Here is a 25466-nt window from a genome sequence, read left to right on the forward strand (position 1 = left end):
AAAAAAGATTGAAGAAAATGAATAAAATCGGAAGGATATGTGAGATAATACCAAACTGTCTCATACTCACATAATTGCAGTTCCAGGAAAAGATAGTGATAATGGGGGAAGAATACTCAAAGAACTAATGACTGAAAAATCTCCAAATCTGATGAAACATACCTGGCTTAAAGATCCAAGAAGCTCAGCAAACCCCAAGCAGAAAAAATACAAAATACACAAAAGCAGATCACAGTCAAAATGACAGAAAACAAGAATAAAGGGGAAATATGAAAAGCAGTCTGATAAAAGACATATTCCATACATGGGAACAACAATACAAATGACAACCACTTCTCAGAATAATGGAAGCCAGAAGACAATGCTGAGAAGTGCTAAAAAGAAAAAAACAAGTGCGGAAAGAAAAAACTCTCAATGCTGAAGTACTTGTCAAACAAAATTTTCCCTCATAAGACAGGGTGAAATCAAGACGTTTGCAGATAAATGGAAGTAGAGAGAAGCTCCTTGGAAAAAAGCTGCCCTGCAAGAAATGCCAGATGGTACCACTGCACTAAAGCCTGAGCAACAGACTGAGACCCTATTTCAAAAGAAGAGGTGGAAGTGGCTGCTCTAGGGCAGGGGGTTGGCAATATCCTAAGACCTTCTGCTACCAATCCTTGTAGAACCAAATGACTCCTCAAACCACACACAAGTTAAGTTTGCTTAAAATAAAAACTAAATGAAAAACCAACAAAATAACTACTGATTAAGGTATGTAGGCCAACCAGCTGGTGAACTGTGGGCAGTAATGGAGAAGATATTTTGGGAAAGTAGACCCTTCCCATGGCTGGTAGTATTCCCATCCTATTCCCCCAAATTAGAGGAAGGGAAGGATACAGGGTAGCGGTGGTACGCTGGGGCCAACAAGCCTGAGCTCATGACCTGATGCTCTGTCACCAGCTTTGTGTCTCTAGGCTAAAACTTCATTCTGTTTTTCTTTTTTTTTGAGACGAGTCTCGCTCTGTCGCCCAGGCTGGAGTGCAGTAGCGTGATCTCTGCTCACCGCAACCTCTGTCTCCCAGGTTGAAGCGATTCTCCTGCCTCAGCCTCCCGAGTAGCTGGGATTACAGGCGTGTGCCACCACACCCAGCTAATTTTGTATTTTTAGTAGAAACAGGGTTTCGCCATGTTGGCCTGGCTGGTCTCGAACTTCTGACCTCAGGTGATCCACCCGCCATGGCCTCCCAAAGTGCTGGGATTGCAGGTGTGAGCCACTGCGCCCGGCCATTCTGTTTTTCATCCGTACAAAAAGGTGCTGTCAGAGTCAAATGACCAAACCCATGTGCCCAAGTGCTAGCATGGAGAAGGTGCTGATAAATGCATCCGTTTAACAATATTTACTGAGCTATTATAATTTTGTGGCAAATGTTTTTAATATACACAAAGGAACTTAAATGCAAAAGAGAATACATATAGTACCAAAAGAAAAACATACTAGGCTGTGTACATGAGTCGTTCATTTTTCATTCAACATGCGCTGAGCTCCTGCCTTGTCCCAGCCTCTGCTCTGGTAACTGGGGATATAGCAGGGAACGGAGCAAAACCAGCTCCATCCTAGTAAGAGGAGACAGAATGTGCCACAGATCCTTTTAGAAGGTGATCATGAGCACGCTACAGAATGTGAAAGCCAGGCAGACAGCACAGGGGGTGGATGCCAGCCTATTTGATGATCTGAGCAAGTGTCTGAGCTGAGGCCTGAGTGATGAAGAGCCAACCACATGGACGGTGTTCAGGCAGGGGAACAGGACAAAGGCTCAGAGGCAGGAGAATGCTTACCGTGTTAGAGACATGGAAAGGGCAGTGTGGCCAGATGGCCGTGAAGAAGGAAACTGGGAGGAGACACGTTCAGAGACATGGGCCAGAGCCAGAGCATATAGGATCTTGCAGGCCAAAGTTAAGAGTGTGGATTTCATTTTTCTTGCAACGTAAAGCCACTGGAGATTGTCTCAGGCAGGGAAATATGAGCCAGTCTCCTCTTTTCTCCCACTCACATATCTTATCAGCGCACCCTGCACTCCAGCCACTGCTGCAGCAACCAGCTTTGCACACACACAAAGGCCTGCCCACACCGTGCCCCTCACTCCCTGCCTGGGAGCATCTCTGAGTCTGGCCAGGGAGGCCTGCCGGAAAGCACTGTGTGCTCATGCCTCCATGACCCAGAAGAGAGAGGCCTCCGCACCCTAGGGATCACCTGTGACCAACGGGGAACAGGGATAAAGCTCTTCTCTCCCACCTCTCAGAGGGACCACTGTGAGACACATTCCTCATGCACCTTGTAAAGTCCTCAGGGTCAAGACCACTGCCCATGGCAGCTAAATGAAAGATGCAGCTCTATCTAAGCCTTGCCTCCTTCTCCAGGTCAGTCTCCAAAACAAAAGCTAAGCATGTGAGCCCTTCTCTCTGGCTCTGTTTTCCACGGGAAGCCTGGGCTAAGACAAGATGTGCTCTGGTTTGTTTTTAAAATATCACAGCCAGGCATGGTGGCTCACACCTGTAATCCCAGCACTTTGGAAGGCCGAGGCGGGCAGATCACGAGGTCAGGAGATCGAGACCGTCCTGGCTAACATGGTGAAACCCCGTCTCTACTAAAAATACAAAAAATTAGCTGGGCGTGGTGGCGGTCGCCTGTAGTCCCAGCTACTCAGGAGGCTGAGGCAGGAGAATGGTGTGAACCCAGGAGGCAGAGCTTGCAGTGAGCCGAGATAGTGCCACTGCACTCCAGGCCTGGGTGACAGAGCGAGACTCCATCTCAAAAAAAAAAAAATCACTCAGGTCACTGGGTGGAGCAGTCTTGTCATGGGATCACAGAGAGGAATTAGTGTAACAGGCAGCTTGATCACTTCACCCATGCCTACTATATTCCAAAAGAGGAGGCGGAAGCCAAGCCAGGAGAGCCCCTTCCCCAGACCAGACCCCTCCCCACCCCAACCAAGCCAGCTGGCATTAGGCAGCACCCAAGGGAGGCTGGATGAGAGCTGAATGCCTCTGATCTGTCACTTTAACTACGTTACTTTTGAAACAGGCAGGTGACAAGACACAGCAACCAGAAACCATCTTACCATCTATTGGAGAGGCCAGGCCTAGGCTCAGTGTCTCAGAAGGCAAGTAGACCCACCCTGTGGACTCCTGGGGGTCCCGGCCATCTCACTCGTCCTTGCCACTGCCTGCAGGCAGAGACCAGGAGCCGACATTATAGAGAAAAGAGGGAGGCTCTGAGGGGCGCTGGGACTCGGCCAAGGCATCCCAACGCAGAGTCCTGGACTCCAGGCTGGCTGTCTCTCTGCCTTGGGAGAGGCTGGGACCAGCAGGGACACTTGGGCTCCAAGTCCCCACTGCATCTGCCCTAGCTGTGCCCTCCTCCTACCCACTTATCCCCACCTCCCTACCGCCACTCCAGCCTCTTACCAGGGTCTACACAAACGGCCTCAGGCCTGTCTCCACACCTCCAATTCACCCAGTCCATTTTCTGCACACAGAACAATGCAGCTTCTGAAACAGTGCTAGGATCTTGTAACTCCTCTGCCGTCAACCCTTAGGTGGCAACCCCAGGATCTGCCTCTAGCTGCCTGCTGGCCATTCCTGGAGTACTCCAAGGCCTCTGCACCGAGGCCCTTGTCCTTGGTGTTCCCTGCCTGAAAAGCTCTCCCAGACGCCCATGTGACTGGCCTCCTCATTCATTCCCATCTATGCTTTTTTTTTTTTTTAGATGAAGTCTCACTCTGTCACTCAGGCTGGAGTGCAGTGGCACGATCTCTGCTCGCTGCAACCTCCGCCTCCCAGCTTAAAGCAATTCTCCTGCCTCAGCCTCCCAAGTAGCTGGGATTACAGGTGTGTGCCACCACGCCCGGCTAATTCTTTTATTTTTAGTAGAGACAGGGTTTCACCATGTTTGTCAGGCTGGTCTCGAACTCCTGACCTCAGGTGATCTGCCCGCTTTGGCCTCCCAAAGTGCTGGGATTACAGGCACGAGCCACCGCACCTGGCCAAGAGGCCTTTCTTAAAAGAGCAGTCCCATCCTGTCCCAACCCCAATTTATTTTTCTTTAGTGCACGTCACTGCCTGACATGCACACACACACACATGCACACACACTTTTTAAAGGTTTACTTTCTCTGCCTCATGAGTTCCACAAGGGCACGGGCTGCATCAGGCTAGTTTTCTGCAATCTGCATAGCACCTAGCACAGTGCCTGGCATGTAGAAGGTGCCCGACAGAAACATAATCTGGAGGAGAGTACTGAGGACCATTTTGCCCCGTGAACCTTTTACACTGTCAGCTGAGCGAGCTGTACATTGTTATGGCTAAGGTGTTTTTCACTGCCCAGGGGACATAAACAACCTTAAACTGCTGAAAACATCTGCCAAGTTGAGAGCGGAAACCGCACTTTCTCTATCCCCCACCCCCAAGCTCTCCTCCTGCACACTCACCTGACCAGCCACTAACCTGACCAGCCAACAGGGACTGTAAACTGTGAATGAGCTCCAAGCCCTCTCACCTAGCATATCACCAGCTATTTGAACTTTTCCCAGCAGGCTTGTCTTATAATTGACTTTCGGGGAAAGGTGAAGTCCAGAAGCATCTACTGGACCCAGAGGGTATGGGTAAGGCCTAATTAGGGAGGAAAAGGGCTCCCAGAGTGTGTATGCTCAGAAAAGCAGCACTCCCCCTCCTCTCCCACTCAGCAAGGGTTGGCAGGTAAGTTTCATATGGGGTGGGGATTTCAAGGCTGCAAGGGTTTCAGTCCTGGGCTTCAGGCCCTTCTTTCACCTTGGTGACAGAAGGGCTCAGTCCTGCCCATCGCTGCCTCAGTCGGGAAGCACATGTTGGGTGAGGGATAAGGCTTCTTTCCTCTTCTAATCTCTAAACATAACTCCCAGCTTATACTACGCTCTGAGTCTCCACACTCATGACAAGGCAGTGCTGTTCTCGCCGTTATCTTTTCTGGGATAAACTGCATTCATCTTAACCTTTTGGTGCACTCCTACCTACCCTTCAGGACCCCAGTTCAAAAGTCTCTCATTTTCCCTGACACCATGGGCCTGTGGTCCAACCCTGAGCAGAATTAACTCTTCTTTCCTTCATGTTCCCATAGCTCTTTACTCTTGCCCCTACAACAACACACATCACAGAATGGGTTATCCATCTAAGTCAAAATGTCCCGCACTATTGGGCTTTGGGGCCAGACAAGTGACATAAAAGGCAGTAAGGAGACAGGACTTGTGGGACCCGCTGGCTATCAGAAAAGGATATGCTATCTAAAACAAGTTCAATAGTAACAAACCAGCCAACCACCCTTCTGCCGGCCAAACAAAACAGGCTTTAGGCCAGGGTGGGAGGCTGAGGTGGGCAGATTACCTCAGGCCAGCAGTTCAAGACCAGCCTGGCCAACGTGACGAAACCTTGTCTCTACTAAAAATACAAAAATTAGCTGGGCATGGTGGTACATGTCTGTCAGCCTGGTTACTCAGGAGGCTGAAGCACGAGAACTGCTTGAACCTGGGAGATGGAGGTTGCAGTGAGCCGAGATCGTGCCACTGCACTCCAGCCTGGGCAACAGAGTGAAACTTCATCTCAAAAAACAAACAACAACAACAAAACAAAACAAAACAAAAAAAACAGGGCCAGGCGCAGTGGCTCATGCCTGTAATCCCAGCACTTTGGGAGGCCAAGGCAGGCAAATCACCTAAGGTCAAGATTCGAGACCAGCCTGGCCAACATAGTGAAACGCTGTTTCTACTAAAAATACAAAAATTAGCCGTGCATGGTGGTGGATGCCTATAATCCCATCTACTCAGGAGGCTGAGGCAGGAGAATCACTTGAACCTGGGAGGTGGAGGTTGCAGTGAGCCGAGACCATGCCATTGCACTCTAGCCTGGGCAACAAGAGTGAAACTCCATCTCAAAAAAAAAAAAAAAAGTTAACATTAAAAAACAAACAAAAAGCGGGCTTTGTAGTGGAAATTGACCTCGGGCTACCACTTGGCTCCTGGTTCCTATGTCCCTCTCTTGCCATCAGGAATGGGTTCCCTGAGGAGAAAGACCCTGTCTTATTCCTCTTGGCACCATCAATACTTGCACAGTGCCTGCACAGAGAAGGGCCTCAACACATCAGCAGTCCACTGTGGGCAGGTCCCAGTAGTCAGGCCCGTGCAGCAGGGCTGAAAGCTGCTTTCCAGGGATTCCTAGTTCACGTTCCCACTGAGTGAGTTCAGATGTGCCCCAGTGGGAAATCAATCCTGCTTACTAGGTTAAAAGCACCACTGAAGTTCGGCTCTGGGACCTGTGTCCAGCATCTGTCCCTCCCAATGGAAACAGAGGAAGGTTTTACTTGACAAGACTTTCTCCTGAGTAACGAAGCAGGCAGTGGAAAGTTCCTTGCTTCTTCATATTAGAGAGGGACCTTGGAAAAGTTAGTTCTCAGGACAAACTCTGAAAACTGGTCAGACTGACCCAAATACAAGTTCCTGAGCTATTTTTCATTGTGTCTTGGGATGTGGTAAGTCAAACCAGGAGGTGGAGTTTGTGGGCCATGCGAGCTCCTGACTGCCGCTGTCCCTCCTCCCACCATGCTGTGGTCCTCCAGGGAAAGGTTTGGCCCTGGGCTCACAAGCAGGCCACAGGCCAGGGAGTGAAGCACTGTGAAGCACCATGGTAAGACAGCAAAACCTCTAGCATATTAACCAGCTAAGGACACAGCCTGCCACCATCTGGCCAGACAGGTGGAGAGAGACCAAAGCAAGGACAAGAAAGGTAAGACCAGGCTGGACCAGCGACACAGGCTGGCGGCAGGCAGAGCAGACTGCAATGCATGCAGTCTGGTGTCGGGGGCACAAATTCTCCTCTGCAATAGGGGAGTAGAGGACCAGGACAGACTCTCATGCCCAAAATTCCTCCCACCTCTTAAAAATGAGTGCCTGAAGGCCCAGCATGAGAAATGGCTTTCTTTGTCCCTTGTTACAATGCAGCTCTCCTTGGGAGGCTTGGTGGCGATGCAGAGTGAAGAAAAATCCAGGATGTGCGTTCCTGTTCCTGTACTCCACCAGCACGTGATGAGGGATGGCCCTGTCAGCTTCTCGCAGTTCAAGTTTCCTCCCCAGTCACCCAGGAAGCACAGTAACCCACGACGTTTTGCAGGCCTGGTGAAAGCAAGGGGCCAGAGGCCATGAAAGCCAGGAAGGCAGAGTTCTGTGGGCACCTGGCACTGTCTGTCAGTGCTCCCTGTGTGTCAGGCCACTTCATCCCGTGACAACCCTAGAAGGTGGGTCTCATTACTCCTTATGTCTGAGGGGTCACAGGAATGAAGCATCAGCAGAGGTCTGTCTGACTCCGAAGCCTGGTGTCCTTTACCATGGACGCGGCTCCTCCGCAAGCACATAGAAACTGCTTCCAAGAAATCTCACTGCCACTGGCACCTCCTGCAGGAATCAAACCCGTTCCTGAACAGCTTGGATGAGAAAAAGGTGCACTGTGGGAAACGACCCTGGCCTCTGGCCAACAAGTCCTGCCTCATCTGCTTGCCAAGTGCCACCTCTTCCGGGTATTCCTCTTCCTCGCAGGAAGCTAAGGGCATCCACGACCAGCCTGCTGCCACCCAAACACCTTGCTTGCTTGCAGGCTCCTTTCAGCACCAGGGAAACATTTGGGGTAATGAGGAAACCAAGGCAGCGTGCAGGAGCTCGCGGTGGGCACCGCTCAGCTGGGGGGCCCATCAGGAAGGGTTTTCAGCAAACATTGACAGCATCCTCAGAGTCAGGGCTGCAAGTGCCAGTGTCCCTGGTAGACAGCCTCTTGGAGCCCTCACAGCCTCCACAAGAATTCCCGTAAACCCCACACCTCTTTTCCCCAAATTCCTCCGCTGCAAGGGCCCAGGCACAAGGGATTCAGATGTCCTATGGCCCACACTGAACAACCCCAACCCTCAAACCATCCCTCCAGTTCCCTGCTACTTTGGTCATCAACGATGGCCCAGACTGGCCTCACGAGTCCCTCACCCTCACCCTCCAAGCCACTCGGTCACCTCTTCAACTCTCTAGAGCAAACCCTCCTCCCCGGGCTCCCAGGCACAGCTGGCTGTTTCGCTGCCTATGGCCCCCAGGCCCACAGCCTGCCAGTGCCACCAGGCTGGCCCTCGTATTTGCCATGCTCTCATCTGCCCCCATTCTCCAGCTGCATGCAGCTTAGACAAACATCACACTCCTCCCTCCCAGGGCCACAGCTCTGCACAGAGGCAGCCATGGCGTTCAAAGCCCTGCCCATCTCACTTCCCTAGGAATCTCTCATGAATCTTCCAGGGCCTCCCTCCCCTTCACGCCTCTGTGGCCCTGAGGAGTGTGGATTAAAGCCCCCCACCAAGCTCCACAGAACTCAGCACACCTCCCTAGGACAGCCACGGCAGCCACATGGCCCTGCCTTCCAGGAACAGCCCTGACTGTCCATGTTTGGCTGGCTGTTGCCACAATGTGTGGAGGTGAAAGATGAGTACTTGTCAGGCCATGCAGTCCAACTCTTGGTTCAGAAGCCTCAGTTACCACAGCCACAGCATTAATAGCATTGCATGCTAATTACCTGTCTACATATATTTTCTCCACCAGAGGTGAGTCCCCAGAGACTGCCTCTTACTTACCTTTCTCTCTCTGGTACCTAGAACAGTGCCTGGGAGAGAGCAGGTACCTAAGGAATCAATGAACAAATAAACCATGCACAAGTTGCCATGCTATGTAATTTACATACAGGGTGTCAGATGGGTAATTCTCAGCCAACAACCATAACTAAGCTCGACAGAGTACCACCTTCCAGGTTCCAAGGGTTCTTCCCTTTTAGCCCTATTTCAACTGGTCTGGTGCTCCAAATGGAAGGCCGTGGCTCTTAAGCGATCAAGAAATAAGTCCAAAGAACAAAGAGAAATCTTTAGAAATCAACAGAAATGGAGAAAGCTGGTAAACACCACCCTAACCAGGTGATCAAACAGGCCCCATTACTAGTATGGAACGTGGCACCGGGGGCTGCCTCCTGTGCTGCAGGATGAAGCCCACAACATCCCCTAGGACGCATTCTTGCCAGAATGGTTTAACTTTAGGCTCATCGAGTCCCCACATTTCTAGCTTACAGGAAATACAAGGAATAAAGAAACAAGTGAAAAGACAACATAAGGAAACCATGAGAAAAAACTACAAGGTGACTCCTACAAAAAAAAAAAAAAATCATGGCTTGTACTGATCTGTAAATTAATTTAAAAAATCAGTGTCATTTGGCTGGGTGCGGTGGCTCACACCTGTAATCCCAACACTTTGGGAGGCCAAGGCGGGCGGATCACGAGGTCAGGAGATCGAGACCATCCTGGCTAACATGGTGAAACCCCATCTCTACTAAAAATACAAAAAATTAGCCGGGCGTGGTGGCGGGTGCCTGTACTTCCAGCTACTCGGGAGGCTGAGGCAGGAGAATGGCGTGAACCTGGCAGGCGGAGCTTGCAGTGAGCCGAGGTTGCGCCACTACACTCCAGCCTGGGCGACAGAGCGAGACTCCGTCTCAAAAAAAAAAAAAAAATCAATGTCATTTAAAAAAAAAGGAGGTGTTGCCGGATGTAGTAGCTCATGCCTGTAATCCCAACACTTTGGGAGGCTGAGGCAGGTGGACCACCTGAAGTCAGGAGTTCAAGACCAGCCTGGCCAACAGAGTGAAACCCCGTCTCTACTAAAAATACAAAAAAAAATTAGCCAGGCATGGTGGCGGGCGCCTGTAATCCCAGCTCCTTGGGAGGCTGAGGCAAGGAAAAGTGCTTGAACCTGGGAGGTGGAGGTTGCAGTGAGCCGAGATCGCACCACTGCACTCCAGCCCAGGCGACAGTGAGAGACTCCATCTAAAATAATAATAATAATAATAATAATATTAAAAGTTAGAATTAAGTCTAAGTAACTTGGTACATAATGTAAAAAAAATTTTGGAATGGGCAATGAGGAGAAAGTAAAAGTGTGCTTGGTTTTGTCTTTTCCTTTTTTTTTGTGAGACAGGCTCTCACTCTGTCACTTAGGCTGGAGTGCAGTGGTGCGATCCTGGCTCACTGCAGCCTCGACCTCCTGGGCTCAAGTGATCCTCCCACCTCAGTCTCCTGAGTAGCTGGGACTACAGACAAGCAACACCATACCTGGCTAATTTTTTTATTTTTTGCAGAGACAGGTTCTCCCCATGTTGCCCAGGCTAATCTCAAATTCCTGGGCTGTAGCAATCCGCCCGCTTCTGCCTCCCAAAGTGTTGGGATTATGGTGGTTCTTGTCTTCTTTAGGTGAAAAAAACAGATCCTGGTAGATAAATTTAAACATGAATTTAAAACTTAATAAAATCAATAGAAACAGCACTATATTTCCAACTTACTAGAAGGCAACGTGGAAGAGAACTGATCAATTCAACAAAAGCAAGCCAAGAGGTAGCTGGATAAATGGGGAAAGAGTATGCTTCCTTCTTGCCTGCCTTCATTCATTCAATAACCAAAAGGTAAAGTACACTGTGCCAAGTGCTTTGATACCTAAGACAAAGTCCATGCCCAGCAGCGCTGAGTGCCTGAGGGTGGAAGGAAGCAAACAGTAACAAACAAGTGAAGTATGACTTGGGGCAATGCAAAGTACTAGGACAAAAAAACAAAACAAGGCAAGTAAGGGCATAATGTTGAAAACATTCTGTGGCTGGGCGCGGTGGCTCACGCCTGTAATCCCAGCACTTTGGGAGGCTGAGGCGGGCGGATCACGAGGTCAGAAGATCAAGACGATCCTGACTAACATGGTGAAACCCCGTCTCTATTAAAAATGCCAGGGGTTGGTGGGGATTGAGAAGTGAGAGTGGCTGCTTATGGTGATGAGGTTTCTTTTGCGGTGATGAAAATATCCTAAAATCAACTGTGGTGATGACTGCACAACTCTTTGAGTATATTAAAAAACAAAAAACAAAAAACAAAAAAAACACTGAATCACGCACTTTAAGTGGGGGAATTTTTATCATATGTGGATTATATCTCCATAAAGATTTTTTTTTTTTTTAAGGAACTTGGGAGAGTGCTACTTTAGACAGGATAGTAAGGTAAGATAATTCAGGGAAAGCAAAATATCAATCTGTTGATGTATGCACTTGTACCACAAATGCACAGCAAACTGGCCCCAAGCCTATCTGGTCACACCTCACCTTCCACCCATCACCATGCGCCTTCCCAAGGGTAGGGGACTCCTCGAATTCCTAGGTGGTCTCCTTTTTTCACTTCACATGCATTTCTCCCTCCGTGTGTTCTGTTAAAATGTGGAGGGTGCCCTCCAGCCCTTTCCTGAACTCTTCTAGTAGAGCTTCTAGTAGAGCTTCAAGAGTCCATGGCTGGGCGCAGTGGCTCATGCCTGTAATCCCAACACTTTGGGAGGCCGAGGTGGGCAGATCGCTTAAGGTCAGGAGTTTGAGACCAGCCTGGCCAACATGGTGAAACCTCATCTCTACTAAAAATATAAAAATTAGCCGGGCGTAGTGGTGTGCACCTGTGGTCCCAGCTACTCAGGAGGCTGAGGCAGAAGAATCACTTGAACCTGGGAGGCCGAAGTTGCAATGAGCTGAGATGGCACCACTGCACTCCGCCTGGGTGATAGAGACTCTGTCTCAAAAAAAAAAAAAAAAAAAAAAGAGACCTGTGCTGCCAGCCATGGGATCCAGCAGCACCCTCCCATCAGATGTTGATCCTGCTCCTCACTCTCCCACTCATGCAGCCAACACATGTTGAGGGCTTATTCTGGGAAAGAAACCCAAAGAAAACTGTAGCGTCAGAGTTTACACTGAAGTATTGGCCTTGAGATTTCAATAATAAAACTGATTTTTTTCTAAGAGATTTTTCTACATATTTCATAGAATTTTCATGTATTTCATAAAATTGATTCTGTTCTATATAAACATGAGAGTCCTATTCTTATTGGGAATATTGAAAAAAATATATAAACATGACAGATATTAACAATTCCTAACTAGCAAACTGAAGTTTACTCTGACACTAAGATCCATTTTTTTGGTCACGAAATCACCCACTATTTATGGACCTACACACAGTTAAAAGCCAAGAGTAAAGCCAGGCACGGCAGCTCACACCTGTAATCCTAGCACTCCTGGGAGGCTGAGGCAGGTGGATTTCTTGAGTCCAGGAGTTCAAGATCAGCCTGGGCAACAATGTGAAACCCCATCTATCTCTACTAAAAATACAAAAAATTAGCCGGGCGTGGTGGCGCATGCCCTGTAGTTCCAGCTACTCAGGAGGCTGAGGTGGGAGAATCACCTGAGCCCAAGGGGCAGAGGTTGCAGTAAGCTGAGATCATGCCACTGCACTCCATTCTGGGCAACCAGAGTGAGACCTTGAGACCCTGTTTAAAAAAAAAAAAAAAGTCAAGAATAAAAAACCCCCAAAATCAAAGTTTTTAATTGGAAATGGTAAACAGAATTTTTTAATTTTAAAAATATCCAATTTTTATACTCCATGGCCATAAAAATGGTGGGCATGGAGGTTATCTGGCTTGAAATGACAAGGGCCTTTTTTCAAAGAATAACAGAGCCTAGAGAGGCTTCTGAGATCACCCAGTCTCACTTCATCACGCAACAGTGAGGAAACTGATGCAAGGAGGGGAAATGACTCCCAGCCCTCATGCTGTTAGCTGAAGGCCAGGCTTTTAGGTCTCTCAAATCAAAATGCACCTTGCCCCCTTTAAGAGACGTCACCTCAGAAGGCAGTACACTTACTCCAACAGCTGCCAGTGCCCAGCACATACAGGAATTGCCTAACATGAACCAGAATTATTTTATAGCCAGACCTCATTTTGGACAGAAGAACTGCTAACATTATGGTAGGCAGGCTGGTTTTTGTTGCTTTTTTTTTTTTGAGACAGGGTCTCACTCTGTCACCCAGGCTGGAGTGCAGTGGTATGGTCATAGTTACCTGCAGACTTGATCTCTGGGACTTAAGCAATCCTCCCGCCTCAGCCTCCTCAGTAGCTGGGACTACAGACATGCATCACCACACCTGGCTAATTATTAATTTTTTTGTAGAGATGAGGTCTTCCTATGTTGTCCAGGCTTCTTTTGACTGTTTTTATTTATCAAACCCACCCCTGGAATACCCACCAAAGCAGGTGCAGGTTCTAGAGAAGTTTCTGAACACAGCATCACAGCGGATGAAACCTTCGGGAAATGCATATACAATTACTCAAAGAGATGACTCTGAAAGGGATAGCACTCATATACACGTTTGAGTTTTAGGTTATTTTTATTATTATTATTATTATTTTTTTTTTTTCGAGATGGAGTCTTGCTCTGTCGCCCAGGCTGGAGTGCAGTGGCACGATCTTGGCTCACTGCAACCTCCGCCTCCCAGGTTCAAGTGGTTCTCCTGCCTCAGCCTCCCGAGTAGCTAGGATTACAGGCATGCGCCACCATGCCCATCTAATTTTTGTATTCTTAGTAGAGATGGGGTTTCACCATGTTGGCCAGGCTGGTCTTGAACTCTTGACCACATGATCGGCCCGCCTCGGCCTCCCAAAGTGCTGGGATTACAGGCATGAGCCACTACACTCGGCCCTAGGCTATTTTTGAACACCAGTCACATTACTCTCTAGCCACACTCTGTTTTTGGGATTTCAGAGTGGTCATTCACGAGCACAGGTGAAAACCTCTAACAAGTAGTGCTCACACACCGCTTCTGGGATTAAGTTTGCCTTCTTCCAATCCAGAAAAGGGAGATTTGCGAGGCAAACTGGTGCAAGTAGAGGAGAGCTGATTTTAATGGTATCTGGATAGGAGCTATTAATGGCAAACGGTCCTTATTCATGAACCCAAAGCAGGTTAGAAAAATCTGATATGTGGCCAGGCGCAGTGGCTCACGCCTGTAATCCCAGCACTTTGGGAGGCTGAGGCAGGCAGATCACGAGGTCAAGGGATCGAGACCATCCTGGCTAACATGGTGACACCCCGTCTCTACTAAAAATACAAAAATTAGCTAGGCGTGGTGGTGTGTGCCTGTAGTCCCAGCTACTTGGGAGGCTGAGGCAGGAGAACTGCTTGAACCAGGGAGGTGGAGGTTGCAGTGAGCCGGGATCACGCCTCGCGCCACTGCACTCCACCTGGTGACAGAGCGAGACTCCGTCTCGAAAGAAAAAAAAAAGAAAGATCTGGTATGTAACAGCATTTGGTTAGCTTCTGCTGCCACATCAACAATAAAACAGCATTTCACAGGCCAGTCTAGAAAGTGGGATTTTTCTGTCATTCACACTGGCCATTCCGAACACTACCCCCAGTTCATCTGAATTAATAAACATTTATTTAATAAGTACTGGGCATTAAAATGTTGACATGACACTGCTAATCAATGTGTAAAATGCAAGCAATACAAGATGGCCTAGATTTTAAATCAGTCCCAACTTTTTTCATTTGTGGGTTTGTGTGTGTTTGCGGTAGTAGGAGAGGGCACAAGACAGCAATGAGGAGAAAAGTACCAGACTAGGAGCTGAAAAGCTTGGCTCTGGTTCAGACTTTGCCACAAATGGGCCTTCATTTCCTCTTCTGTAAGATGGGGATAGTCTCCCACAGGGTGGCTATGAGGATCAAATGCAACAACTCATGAGAAAAGCGATGGAAACTTATAAAACGCATGCACATTTGAGGGAGAGTTGCTCCTCTTATTACTGAACTCTGAGAATTCCTCATACCCAAAGCACCCAGGAAAACCGCCTAGCATGAGGTCTCAGCAAAGGCCAATCACAGCCCGAGCACTACACAAAGGCCAGTGCAAGGTAAAGAAACCTACAAGGGCTAAACAACGAACAAGAGGAAAGCAAGGAAAGCAGACATGTGGATATCCTGAGTCACAGCATGGAGACAAAAGGTGGTAAAGGCCTTGTGTGCCTCTACTTCCCACAATCCCTGATCAGTTTGGGGTCACTGTATAGCTCTATTTCTAGTACGAGCATAGCCACAGGGGCCAGTCTCTTGCCTTTATTGTCTTCACTTTACTGATAGGACAACAGGTCAATGAAGTGACTTGTTTACGGTCAGCTGGGCAACTAGGCTGAGAAACCAAGCTTCCTGACCCCCACCCCCCGCAATCCACTCTCTCTCATCAGGTGGTTACACACCAACATCAGTTCCCATCTGTGGATGATCCACTATGGGCCAGGTCCTTAAGGGTAGGGGTTTTGCAGGTAAGACAGATTTGAAGAGGTAAAGTCACATGCCTATGGTACAGTATCCCCCACTTATCCATGGTTTCACTTTCCAAGGTTTCAGCTACCTGCCATCAACTTTGCTCTAAATGTATTAAGTAGGGCCAGGCGTGGTGGCTCATGCCTGTAATTCCAGCACTTTGGGAGGCCGAGGTGGGTAGATCACCTGAGGTCGGGAGTTCGAAACCAGCCTGGCCAACATGGTGAAACGTTGTCTCTACTAAAAAAAAAACAAAAAACAAAAAACAAAATCAGCCAGGCACAGCGGTGCATGCCTGTAATCCCAGCTACTAAGGAGGCTGAGGCAGGAGAATCACTTGAGCCCAGGAGGCGGAGGTTGCAGTGAGCAGAGGTCATGCCATTGCACTCCAGCCTGGGCAACAAGAGCGAAACCCCGTCTCAAAAAATAAAATAAAAAATAAAAATATTAAGTAGGCCAGGCGCGGTGGCTCACACCTGTAATCACAGCACTTTGGGAGACCCAGGTGGGTGGATCACTTGAGGTCAGGAGTTTGAGACCAGCCTGGCCAACATGGTGAAACCCCATCTCTACCAAAAAATACAAAAATTAGCTGGGTGTGGTAGTGGGCACCTGTAATCCCAGCTACTTGGGAGGCTGAGGCAGGAGAATCGCTTGAACCTGGGAGGTGGAGGTTCCAGTGAGCCGAGATCACACCACTCCACTCCCTCCTGGACGACAGAGTGAGATTCTGTCTCAAAAAAACAAATAAAAATATTAAATGGTAGATTCTAGAAATAATGCATAAGTCGATTGCACATCATTCTGAGTAGCATGATGAAATCTCACGCCATCCTGCTCCGTCCCACCTGGGATGTGAATCATACCTTTGTCCAGCATGTACTGTATCACAGTGCTTGTGTTCAAAGAATCCTTATTTTACTTAATAATGGCCCCAAAGCGCAGGAATAGCGATGCTGGCATATTGTTATAACTGTTCTATTTTGTTATTAATTATTGTTGTTAATTTCGTACTGTGCCTAATTCATAAATTAAACTTTATCATGGGCATGTATGTATAAGACAAAACATAGTCTATATAGCGTTCAGTACCATCTGAAGTTTCAGGCATCCACTGGGGGTCTTAGAACATATCCATTGAGGATAAGATTTAACCTGGTGCTGTGCAGTTCTAAAGCTGGCCCTCTTTCCACTATCTCTCCACCAGACATGCTGTCTCAGGATTCTAAGAAACCTCGAGAGGCAAGGTTTATTTTGCAATTAGGATGGCTGTCCCTGGTATCAAGAACAGATTTCTTCAGAAAATCAGCACGACCTAGAACTTCTTTCTTATCTAACAGTCCTTTTGCTATTTCTAATGAAAACTGAAAAAGTCAAACAAACTTTATCCAAATAGGAAAAGAACAGATGAGCAGAACTAGACTCTTGATTGGAAGGACTGTGAATGCAAACTTTAACCAGAAACCATTTCCTCTTATCCCGCCCTGCCCCCTCTTTTTGAAGTGCCAGGAGCAGCTACAAAAACAAATTTGACTCCTAGGGCAAGGGGAAGCTTGAGAGTCAAGGCCAAAGGTCCTGAAATCTGGAGGTCCAGGCCCAAGGGCACAGACTTTACCTCTATGAAGGAGAGATCTGGCAGCATCCCTAGCGAGCAGACAGTGAGCCTGAGAGAGAGCTGAATAGAGGGGTACAGTTCCATAAGGCTGACCTCTGCGCTGGACTTGAGGCCGGTGTGCCTAGTGATCTGCAAAAACGAGTTTACATAACAGGCCTTTGTGTTGTCCCAGATAAGAGTGAGTAGAGGAGCTTCAGAATGTTTTAAGGATTTAGAGCCAGCTGAGATTTCCTGAGGACACTGAGGTGGGGAGGAGGGAGGGGTGGGGGAGGGGCAAATTCAGACCTAATCTGTCTCATCTAGGGAGGAAAACAGTAACTGCAGCAATAAAAAAATATATATTTATAAATCCTTGTTTTTAAATAAGAAATGAGTAACACTGATGGCTTCTTCTTAGAGGACACTGGGTGGCTTACGGGACAAACACGGAAGGGAGACTTTTCACTATATATACCCTTTGAAGTTTTTAAAATTTTGAAATTTGAACCATGTGAATGGTTTATCTATTCAAAAGTAAGTCATGGAAACTTTATTTTAAGCATGTTCAAAGTTTTCTGACAACCCTAAGAAAGAGGCAGAGCAAAGACCATTAGTCCCATTTCACAGATGAGGAAGCCTGAGGCTCCAAGGAGAAAAAAAATGAATTGCCCAAGTCTGTGGCAGGGTTGAAGCAAGACTCAGAACTTCAGACTCCTAGTCCAGTGCTCTCTGTCAGAGACTCCACAGTATGCAAGATAAGCAGCACTCAGATTCACTTTATAAGTCCAGTTCTCATAGCTACAGTCAAATGCATCCACAAGAACACTGGAAATGATCACCATATACAAAGCCTTACTGACTCGTACAGCAGTGTCTCTGAGCCGTTTGGGTATATCTACACGTTTTGGTTAATAATAAACCAAACACCCTAAAACTCTTTAACTGTCAACCCCAATCTTTCTAAAATGCCCCATTCCACATTCTTCTCTCAGTGAATGCAATGGCCACAACTGCATTTTTATTAGATCCATTCACTTTCAGAATCTCACGGTCATCTTTATGAACTCAGAGCAAATCAGAAGGGTGGTCAAGTAAAAATGAAGACTGGGCTTAGGAGCCAGCCAAACCCTTGGTTTTGCCACAGAGTTGTAAGTGACCTTGGCCTCAGCTTTCTCTCTATAAAGGAACCAATTAACAGGCACATATTGGACACCATGTGTTTGACACTGGCCCACTGGATCCCTGTGTCTTCAAGGAGCTTACCTTCTATAGGGGCAGACAGAAAAAAACAGTTAATTTGAAGCTGTGGTAAGTGTTATGACCAGATACAATAGAGTTACAGAATAGAGGACCTGGGAGATCAGGCAAGGCCTCTCTGAAGATGTGGCATTTGCGTTGGGACCTGAATGATGAAGTAGCAGTTACGTGGGGATCTAGAGGCAGAGTATGATGGGCACGGGAAGAGATGCAAAGGTCCTGAGGCAGGGGTAAGCCCACCATGTTGAAGGGCTAGTGAAGCTGGAGAGCAGGCAGTGAAGGGTAGAGATGGGCCTCTGTCTGCCTCTCCAACTTTGTCTCCTTCCAGAGGTCCATCTCTTTGGGGAAGGTGTTTGGAGGTTATTCTGGTTGTAATGGGAAGTGGCTACAGAAATAAAGTAATTTGATTAAATCTGTGATTCTCAAATGTTTCGGTTTTTTTAGCAGGAGAATTCTTTAGTCAAATAACAAGAATTTCAACCTACAACTAGATAAAGGTATTGCTCTGACTGGTTGGGAAGCTAGTTAAAGCCCTTCTGACCCTCTCTCTGACCTCTTGGCTTTTCTCCTTACCTTTCAGTACCTCCAAGCTCACAGGAGCTAGAAAACCACCAGGTGATCCATCTCTAAGCTTCCTGAAGCTCTAATAAAACCCAGCATCATTGTAAAGAATCACAGGGAAAGCTTTAGGATATAAGACTGGATGCTTGCTGGACAAGCATCTCGGGCTTCCCAAGACAGGCCCTGAGAAGGTTTATTTTATTTTATTCTAAATAGATACCACGTCTCACTATGCTGGCCAGGCTCATCTCGAACTCTTGACATCCAGCAATCTTCCTGCCTCGGCCTCCCAAAGTGCTGGGATTGCAGGCATGAGCCACTGCACCCGGCCCCTGGAAAGGTTTTACACTGAATCCCTGATGTGCACTTGCTTTCCACAGAAAAAACAACAATAAGCTCTGGTTCATCAAGGCTTTCAGTTAAAATCACACTGCTGAAACTACAGAGACAAAAAACAGATCGGGGGTTGCCACAGGATGAGGTGAAAGGAACTGACTACAGAAGAACAAAAGAACTTTCTGGGTTGGTGGAAAAATTCTCCATCTTGATAGTGATGTGGCTGCTTGTCTGTGTAAGTTTGAGAAGTTCATAGACCTGTAACACCTCAAGTGGTGAAGGTTTACCGTGTGTAAATTAGACCTCAAAAAACTTGACTTAAAATCACATTGCCAAAAGACTACTCAGAGGCACTTTACAGATGGAGGAGGGAAAATGGCTTGCTCCTGCTGCGGCAGCGGACCCCAGGAAGCCTGACTCGAAGGACAGTGTTCCCTCAAGTTCACGGCTGCCCAGCTTTAATTTGGAGCCTCTGCAGTGAGTTAGACTTCAGGTTTTCCTGCCGGCAAAATGAGGTGGTAAACAATTGCCAGAGGCTTCCCCACCACAGACAACGGGATTCTGAAAAGCTGTCCACTATGGGGGAGAAATCTGCTTTGGAGTCAGAAAAACTGGGAAAAATATTCCCACCTCTATCACTTCTTAGCTGTGTGCCCAGGCTCCATCCTGTGTGAGCGGGGGTAAGAATTCCCTCCAGTCAGCAGAGAATGCACCTGTAACCCAGCTGATTCCCAACAGCCTCTCAAGAAGGTCAGCGGCTATAACTTGGAGAGGTGTTTACCACAGCTACACAGCTCTTCTGCTCCCTGGGCCCCGGGCTGCTTCCTAGGAAGGACAATCTGGAGGCAACCATAAGGAAAGAAAATAACGAACTGCCTGGCCCTGCATTGCATAACCCGTGCGCAGTAAACCAGGAGCTCTGCTGGGACACAGTCTGTTATCTCAACAGGTAAACAGGAACCCTGCCCCCTCCCTGACCACCGTCAGCACTGGGCCACCACAGACACTCCAGACACAGACCGATAGCACATGAGGAGGACACCACTGCTCTTTAGCCTGTATTTTCACACTCCCATTTCCCTGCAGCTGCTGGCATCATCACTGGGCACACTCAATAACGGACACTCCACCCACTCCAGCCCTTCCCTGGCTACCTGCTCCAAAAGGGTGGTCCCGAGTGACTCAAAGCTGCCTTCTGCACCTTGCTCTTTTCCATCCACGGAGACCAAAACACAGACCCCAGAAGACGATTAAAATATAATAATAATAAAACCCCTCAGGCAGGAGTTTCTGCTTCCCCGTCACATCTACTGAGAGGCACTGTGGACACATAAAGACTGTTGACTTACTTTTTTCTCCACCTTGGGGCAGGAGGGAGGCAACACCCAGAAATTATCCCAATTTTATAGAAACAAAGACAAAGAGCTACATATCCTAGCCAAAGGCAACAAGGAGCAGGCCTAGAGCCACCCGGAGAGGCAGAGCCCAGCAGCAGCAAGGCTCCAGTGACTCCCATCTCCCTGGCAGAGATCGTCCCAGCCCTGTGCCCTGAGGGTGTCCTGAAGATCATGGGGGCTCGAAACCATGAAAGCAAGCAAAGATTTCTGTACAGTGCGGTTCAGAAAAGTTACTGAGTGCCTTCAGCCCAGGATCTCCTGGTTGATTAGGGAGTACTAACACCTAGGTTAAGAAACTCTGATTTCATTCATCACAAATATTTATCAAACCACTGCCAGGACATTGTGGCAACCACATCCTGCTGTTTTTATTCGGAGCCATTGCCAAAGCTTGGTTCTCTCCCCCACCTTCCGGTATCTGTGAAGTTTTCAGTTTCTATCAAACTCCAGCTGGGGGAGGGAACCGGGGCTGGCCCTAGTCGAGTAAAGTTCCACCACCAGGTCCACAAAGAGACTGCAGGGAGGCGTGGCCAGGCCGGAAATTCTGACAAAAAGTTTTGGCCCTCTGGTCCTAAAAGCAACTACTTCCTGATCGCTCCTAGTCCTGGGGTGGGGATGCAGTTCTCTGGCTGAGTGCCCCGCCGGTGGGCTGAGCTGGGGGCTGCCATCGCGGTGGATGGAGGTGGGGGGTCTGATCTCCGCACTCCAAGGCGCTCCGCTAGTACCTGGAACAGGGGAGTCTAACCCCCTGCCTTCCAATGGCTAAAGTTATTTTGGAGCACAGTCCCCTCCTAGGGTGTGAGCTCCGGAGGGCAGGGCCGCCTCCTCCACACTCCCTCGCCCCCCCCCCCCCCAGCAACCCACGGCCGGCGCTTTGAGGACTTGAACCCGGCCCAGACCCCGGGGCCCAGGCCTGCTCCGACCCGAGGAAGGAAAAAGGGGAAGCCAAAGGAAACTTCAGATGGACGCGGGGTGCGCTCGCCGCGGCCAGGGGCTCCGCTGCCCCCGCCCCACCCTCCGAGGGAGCGCCTTCCAGGGGCCCTGGCCGGCCTCCCACCTTGACCCGCTTGCCCTGGATCTCCAGCGTCTTCATGGTGAAGTCGACGCCGATGGTGCTTCCCTGGCGCTCCGAGAAGGCGCCGGTCTTGAAGCGCTGCACCACGCACGTCTTGCCCACGCTTGCGTCGCCCACCAGCACCAGCTTGAACAGGAAATCGTACTGCTCGTCCGGGTCCCCCGGGCCTGGGCCCGGCCCTGCCATGGCCTAGAAGAAGCCGAAGGGCCGGCGCTCTGGACGCTGGGACCGGCCTGAGCTCACGCAAGCCGCGGGCCGAGCTCCGCCCGCTCCAGCCCACGGGCCGCCTGGCTACGTGGAGCCGCCGCAACACCTGAACCCCCAGCACTGCCGACCGCCTGCCTCGGCCTCGGCCCCGCCCCACCCCGGCTGGCTCCCGCCCCGGCCCGGCTCGGCCCCGCCCGGACCCGGTGCCCCGCGGGTTCGGCTCCCCCCCGGACCCGCCAAGCCGGGCCCTCCGCAAAGCTCCGGCCGGTCCTCAGCTCCGTGCCACACCAGTCTGGCCTGTAGGCCCGCCCCAGCCCGCCCCCGCCCGCCCCCGGCTCCGCCCTCAGGCTGGCACCCACTCCGCCCCCAGCCCAACCCTCGGGCCCACCTCAGCCCGACCCGGGTTCCGCCTACGTCCCCGCCCCCGACTCCGCCCTCAGCTCCGACCTCGACTCCGCCCCCAGGCCCACCTCAGCGCGCCCCGACTCCGACCCGACTCTGCCCTCAGCCCGACCTCGACTCCGCCCACAGGACCACCTCAGCCCGCCCCGACTCCGCCCTCAGCCCGAACTCGACTCCGTCCCCAGCTCCGACCTCGACTCTGCCTTCAGGCCCACCTCAGCCCTCCCCGACTCCGCCTTCAGCCCGACCTCGACTCCGCCCTCAGGCCCACCTCAGCACACCGCCCCGACTCCGCCCACAGGCCCACCTCAGCCCGCCCCGACTCCGCCCTCAGGCTCACCTCAGCTCTGACTCCGCCCCACCCGACTCCGCCCTCAGCCCCGACCCCAGCCCGACCCCGCCCTCAGCACCTCGGCCCCTCCTCCATCAACACCCCGGCGCGCCCACACCGCGGATCCGTCTGGCCCCCAAACCGCTGCCCACCCCGACCCTTCATCAGCTGGGACCCCCAGGTGCTGTCCCGCGCCTCCTGCTCGCCCCCCACCCAGGCCTGGTCCGCCTGCCCGGGATCCCCTACCTGCTGCCTCCCAGACCGCCGGTCAGGGACAGGCGGAGACCATGGCTGGAGCTCCGGGCCTGCAGGCCTAGACTAAGAATGACCCCCTCCGGAATGGATCACGGAGGAAGGGGACGACCACAGCAGTGTCACCTGAGTGCCCACTCTGACAGGCGGGCAGTGCAGTCTCCGAGAGTGGTGGGGGTCGCTCTTCCCAGGGGCGGAAGGGAAGGGAGGGAGCAGGCTGCAGAAGGCCAGAATCCAGGCTGGCTACAAAACTGCGGAGGAGCCCAAAATCCTTGTGAGGAGAGGACCCAGGGCCCCATTTGATGGGAAGCTAGGCCAGAAGGAGGAGCTGGGAGCTCTTGTCTCCAAAAGGCAGCCTAGCAGTGGTTGAAGCAGCTGCTAAACGGCTGGATGACCCAGCTCAGAGCAGCTACAGGCCCATTTGGGAAACTGACCCAGCCAAAAAGCACCAGTCTAGGAAGAGGAACAGAAAAACTTGAAGGGATTTCTGAGGAAGGGCAGACCAACTCCTGAGTTGGCCCAGTGAACCAGGGCGCCTCAGAGAAAGGAGACCCAAACATCTGTAAGAAGCTTATACTAGATCCAACAGGACTGGGCTTCCCAGCTCCGAAGATGGGAAGGAATTGACAGCACCCCTTACCCCTCTAGACAGCTTCCTTGTGGCACTCCAATTCCAGGTATTCAACATATTTAATGAATGGCTACTACAGGCGGGCATTGTCCTGGGGCCTTGTAATGCACCTGTGGACAAAGCAGACAAAAATCCAGGAGAAAAGGGGAAAGTCTTCAAGCTGAAGGAGACTTCGCAGAGAGCAAGTCCCCCAGTGCCACTGTGAGGACCCCAGCCAACCTTTCAGGTCAAGATAGAAAGGGACTGAATGAGCAGTCTGCAAAGGCAGACCCCGTGGAGAAGGCAGAAGAGTTGTTTCTTCTGAAAGTTTGAACTCCACTCCCATGGGAAATACCCAACAGAATCAGACAGGAAACCCCAAAGTGCCACTGAAAAGCAATTGAGAGCCCCACTTTGGTACACCTGATGGGAGCGGAGAGTTAGAGAGGCAGGAAATAACCTCCACTCCAGGGTAGAAGTAGACAGGAGATGGGATGGAAGGTTTCTGCATGCTGGGACTAGCTCAGGTCAAAGTCCAGAACTCCAGAAAACAAGGCCTGCCCCCAGCTCAGAGCAGCTACCACAGCACAAAATGGTGTGGAATCCAGGAGCCAGGATGAAGCGTAGGGGTAGACGGTGGTTGGATAGCTAACTGGCCTTTCCACTGCTCTAGCCTGGAACTGGTTGGGCTGGGGCAGGGGACATGTTGGTCTGAGTATAGATTTTGTCAGAAAACCCAGGCACCACTCCCTTGCCTTTGCGGGGTGATTCTAAAATTGGACTGTGGTAAGGGTTGCACAACTCCTCAAGTTTATTAAAATCATTAAAATGTAAACTTACAACCTGTGGGTTTTATGGTATGTAAATTATACCTCAATAAAGCTGTCTAATATCTGCATTTCCTCTTTTGGTGGTAAATTCCTGAGTAGCACAGTGGCATTTTATTTGAAATGGAATCATGCTAATTTGAAATGCAGCAATTAAAAAATATTTATGTTTCATTTAATACACCAAATTTGAAAAAATGTATATTGCACTTTTTTTTTTTTTGAGACGGAGTCTCGCTCTGTCACCCAGGCTGGAGTACAGTGGCGCGATCTCGGCTCACTGCAAGCTCCGCCTCCCGGATTCACGCCATTCTCCCGCCTCAGCCTCCCGAGTAGCTGGGACTACAGGCGCCCGCCACCATGCCCAGCTAATTTTTTGTATTTTTAGTAGAGACGGGGTTTCACCGTGTTAGCCAGGATGGTCTCGATCTCCTGACCTCATGATCCACCCACCTCGGCCTCCCAAAGTGCTGAGATTACAGTCGTGAACCACCGCACCCGGCCTATATTGCAAAATTTTTAAAATAGGTCAAGAATTTAGTTGCCGGGCACGGTGGCTCACGCCTGTAATCCCAGCACTTTGGGAGGCTAAGATGGGCGGATCACGAGGTCAGGAGATCGTGACCACCCTGGCTAACATGGTGAAACTCCGTCTCTACTAAAAATACAAAAAATTAGCCGGGTGTGTTGGCCGGCGCCTGTAGTCCCAGCTACTCAGAGGCTGAGGCAGGAGAATGGCGTGAACCCAGGAGGTGGAGCTTGCAGTGAGCCAACATGATGCCACTGCACTCCAGCCTGGGCGACAGAGCGAGACTCTGTCTCAAAAAAAAAAAAAAAAAAGAAAGAAAGAAAAAAAAATTGGTCAAGAATTTAACTTTTTTTTTGAGACAGAGTTTCACTCTTGTTGCCCAGGATGGAGTGCAATGGCCTGATCTTGGCTCACTGCAACCTCAAGCAATTCTCCTGCCTCAGCCTCCCCAGTAACTGGGATTACAGGCGTGTGCCACCACACCCAACTAATTTTCGTATTTTTAGTAGAGACAGTGTTTTGCTGTGTTGGCCAGGCTGGTCTTGAACTCCTGACCTCAGGTGACCCGCCCACCTCGGCCTCCCAAAGTGCTGGGATTACAGGCATGAGCCACCATGCCCGGCCAAGAAACATATTTATTTTATTTTATTTTTGAGACACAGTCTCACTCTGTTGCCCAGGCTGGAGTGCAGTGGCGCGATCTCTGCACACTGCAACCTCCGCCTCCCGGGTTCACACCATTCTCCTGCCTCAGCCTCCTGAGTAGCTGGGACTACAGGCTCCAGCCACCATGCCTGGCTAATTTTTTATATTTTTAGTAGAGACGGGGTTTCACTGTGTTAGCC

At 50.0% G+C, this 25466-nt stretch overlaps 2 protein-coding genes across 8 annotated transcripts in view, besides 4 other annotated features; both read right to left on the reverse strand.

The window, feature by feature from the left end:
* RAB43 (RAB43, member RAS oncogene family) overlaps window positions 1–22310 on the reverse strand; it is a 34582-nt gene extending 12272 nt beyond the window's left edge. For 2 of the 7 annotated variants that reach the window (NM_198490.3, NM_001204887.2), the window contains exon 1: window positions 21446–21964. In NM_198490.3, coding sequence (NP_940892.1) covers window positions 21446–21649 — 204 coding nt within the window. In that variant the 5' untranslated portion in view covers window positions 21650–21964. Of the gene's footprint in view, window positions 1–21445; window positions 21965–22058; window positions 22083–22140; window positions 22175–22264 lie in introns of those variants that run through there. The other 5 variants (NM_001204885.1, NM_001204883.2, NM_001204884.2 and 2 more) reach the window with 5 other exon arrangements.
* The window catches only part of ISY1-RAB43 (ISY1-RAB43 readthrough), a 73492-nt gene that overhangs the window by 12269 nt on the left and 35757 nt on the right, over window positions 1–25466 (reverse strand). The window lies entirely within an intron of this gene.
* Window positions 12479–12979: an enhancer, noted in NCBI's record as "H3K27ac hESC enhancer chr3:128831162-128831662 (GRCh37/hg19 assembly coordinates)". NCBI's record gives its function as "activates a minimal SCP1, AML or CMV promoter by ChIP-STARR-seq in naive H9 embryonic stem cells {active_cell/tissue: H9 hESC(naive)}" and the evidence as "EXISTENCE:reporter gene assay evidence [ECO:0000049][PMID:30033119]".
* Window positions 20048–20993: an enhancer, noted in NCBI's record as "H3K27ac hESC enhancer chr3:128838731-128839676 (GRCh37/hg19 assembly coordinates)". NCBI's record gives its function as "activates a minimal SCP1, AML or CMV promoter by ChIP-STARR-seq in primed H9 embryonic stem cells {active_cell/tissue: H9 hESC(primed)}" and the evidence as "EXISTENCE:reporter gene assay evidence [ECO:0000049][PMID:30033119]".
* Window positions 21774–21953: a silencer, noted in NCBI's record as "silent region_14717". NCBI's record gives its function as "represses an Ori minimal core promoter by ATAC-STARR-seq in GM12878 lymphoblastoid cells {active_cell/tissue: GM12878}" and the evidence as "EXISTENCE:reporter gene assay evidence [ECO:0000049][PMID:35858748]".
* Window positions 21974–22193: a silencer, noted in NCBI's record as "silent region_14718". NCBI's record gives its function as "represses an Ori minimal core promoter by ATAC-STARR-seq in GM12878 lymphoblastoid cells {active_cell/tissue: GM12878}" and the evidence as "EXISTENCE:reporter gene assay evidence [ECO:0000049][PMID:35858748]".

This window comes from Homo sapiens, chromosome 3 (assembly GCF_000001405.40).
Source record: "Homo sapiens chromosome 3, GRCh38.p14 Primary Assembly".
Classification (NCBI taxonomy): domain Eukaryota; kingdom Metazoa; phylum Chordata; class Mammalia; order Primates; family Hominidae; genus Homo; species Homo sapiens.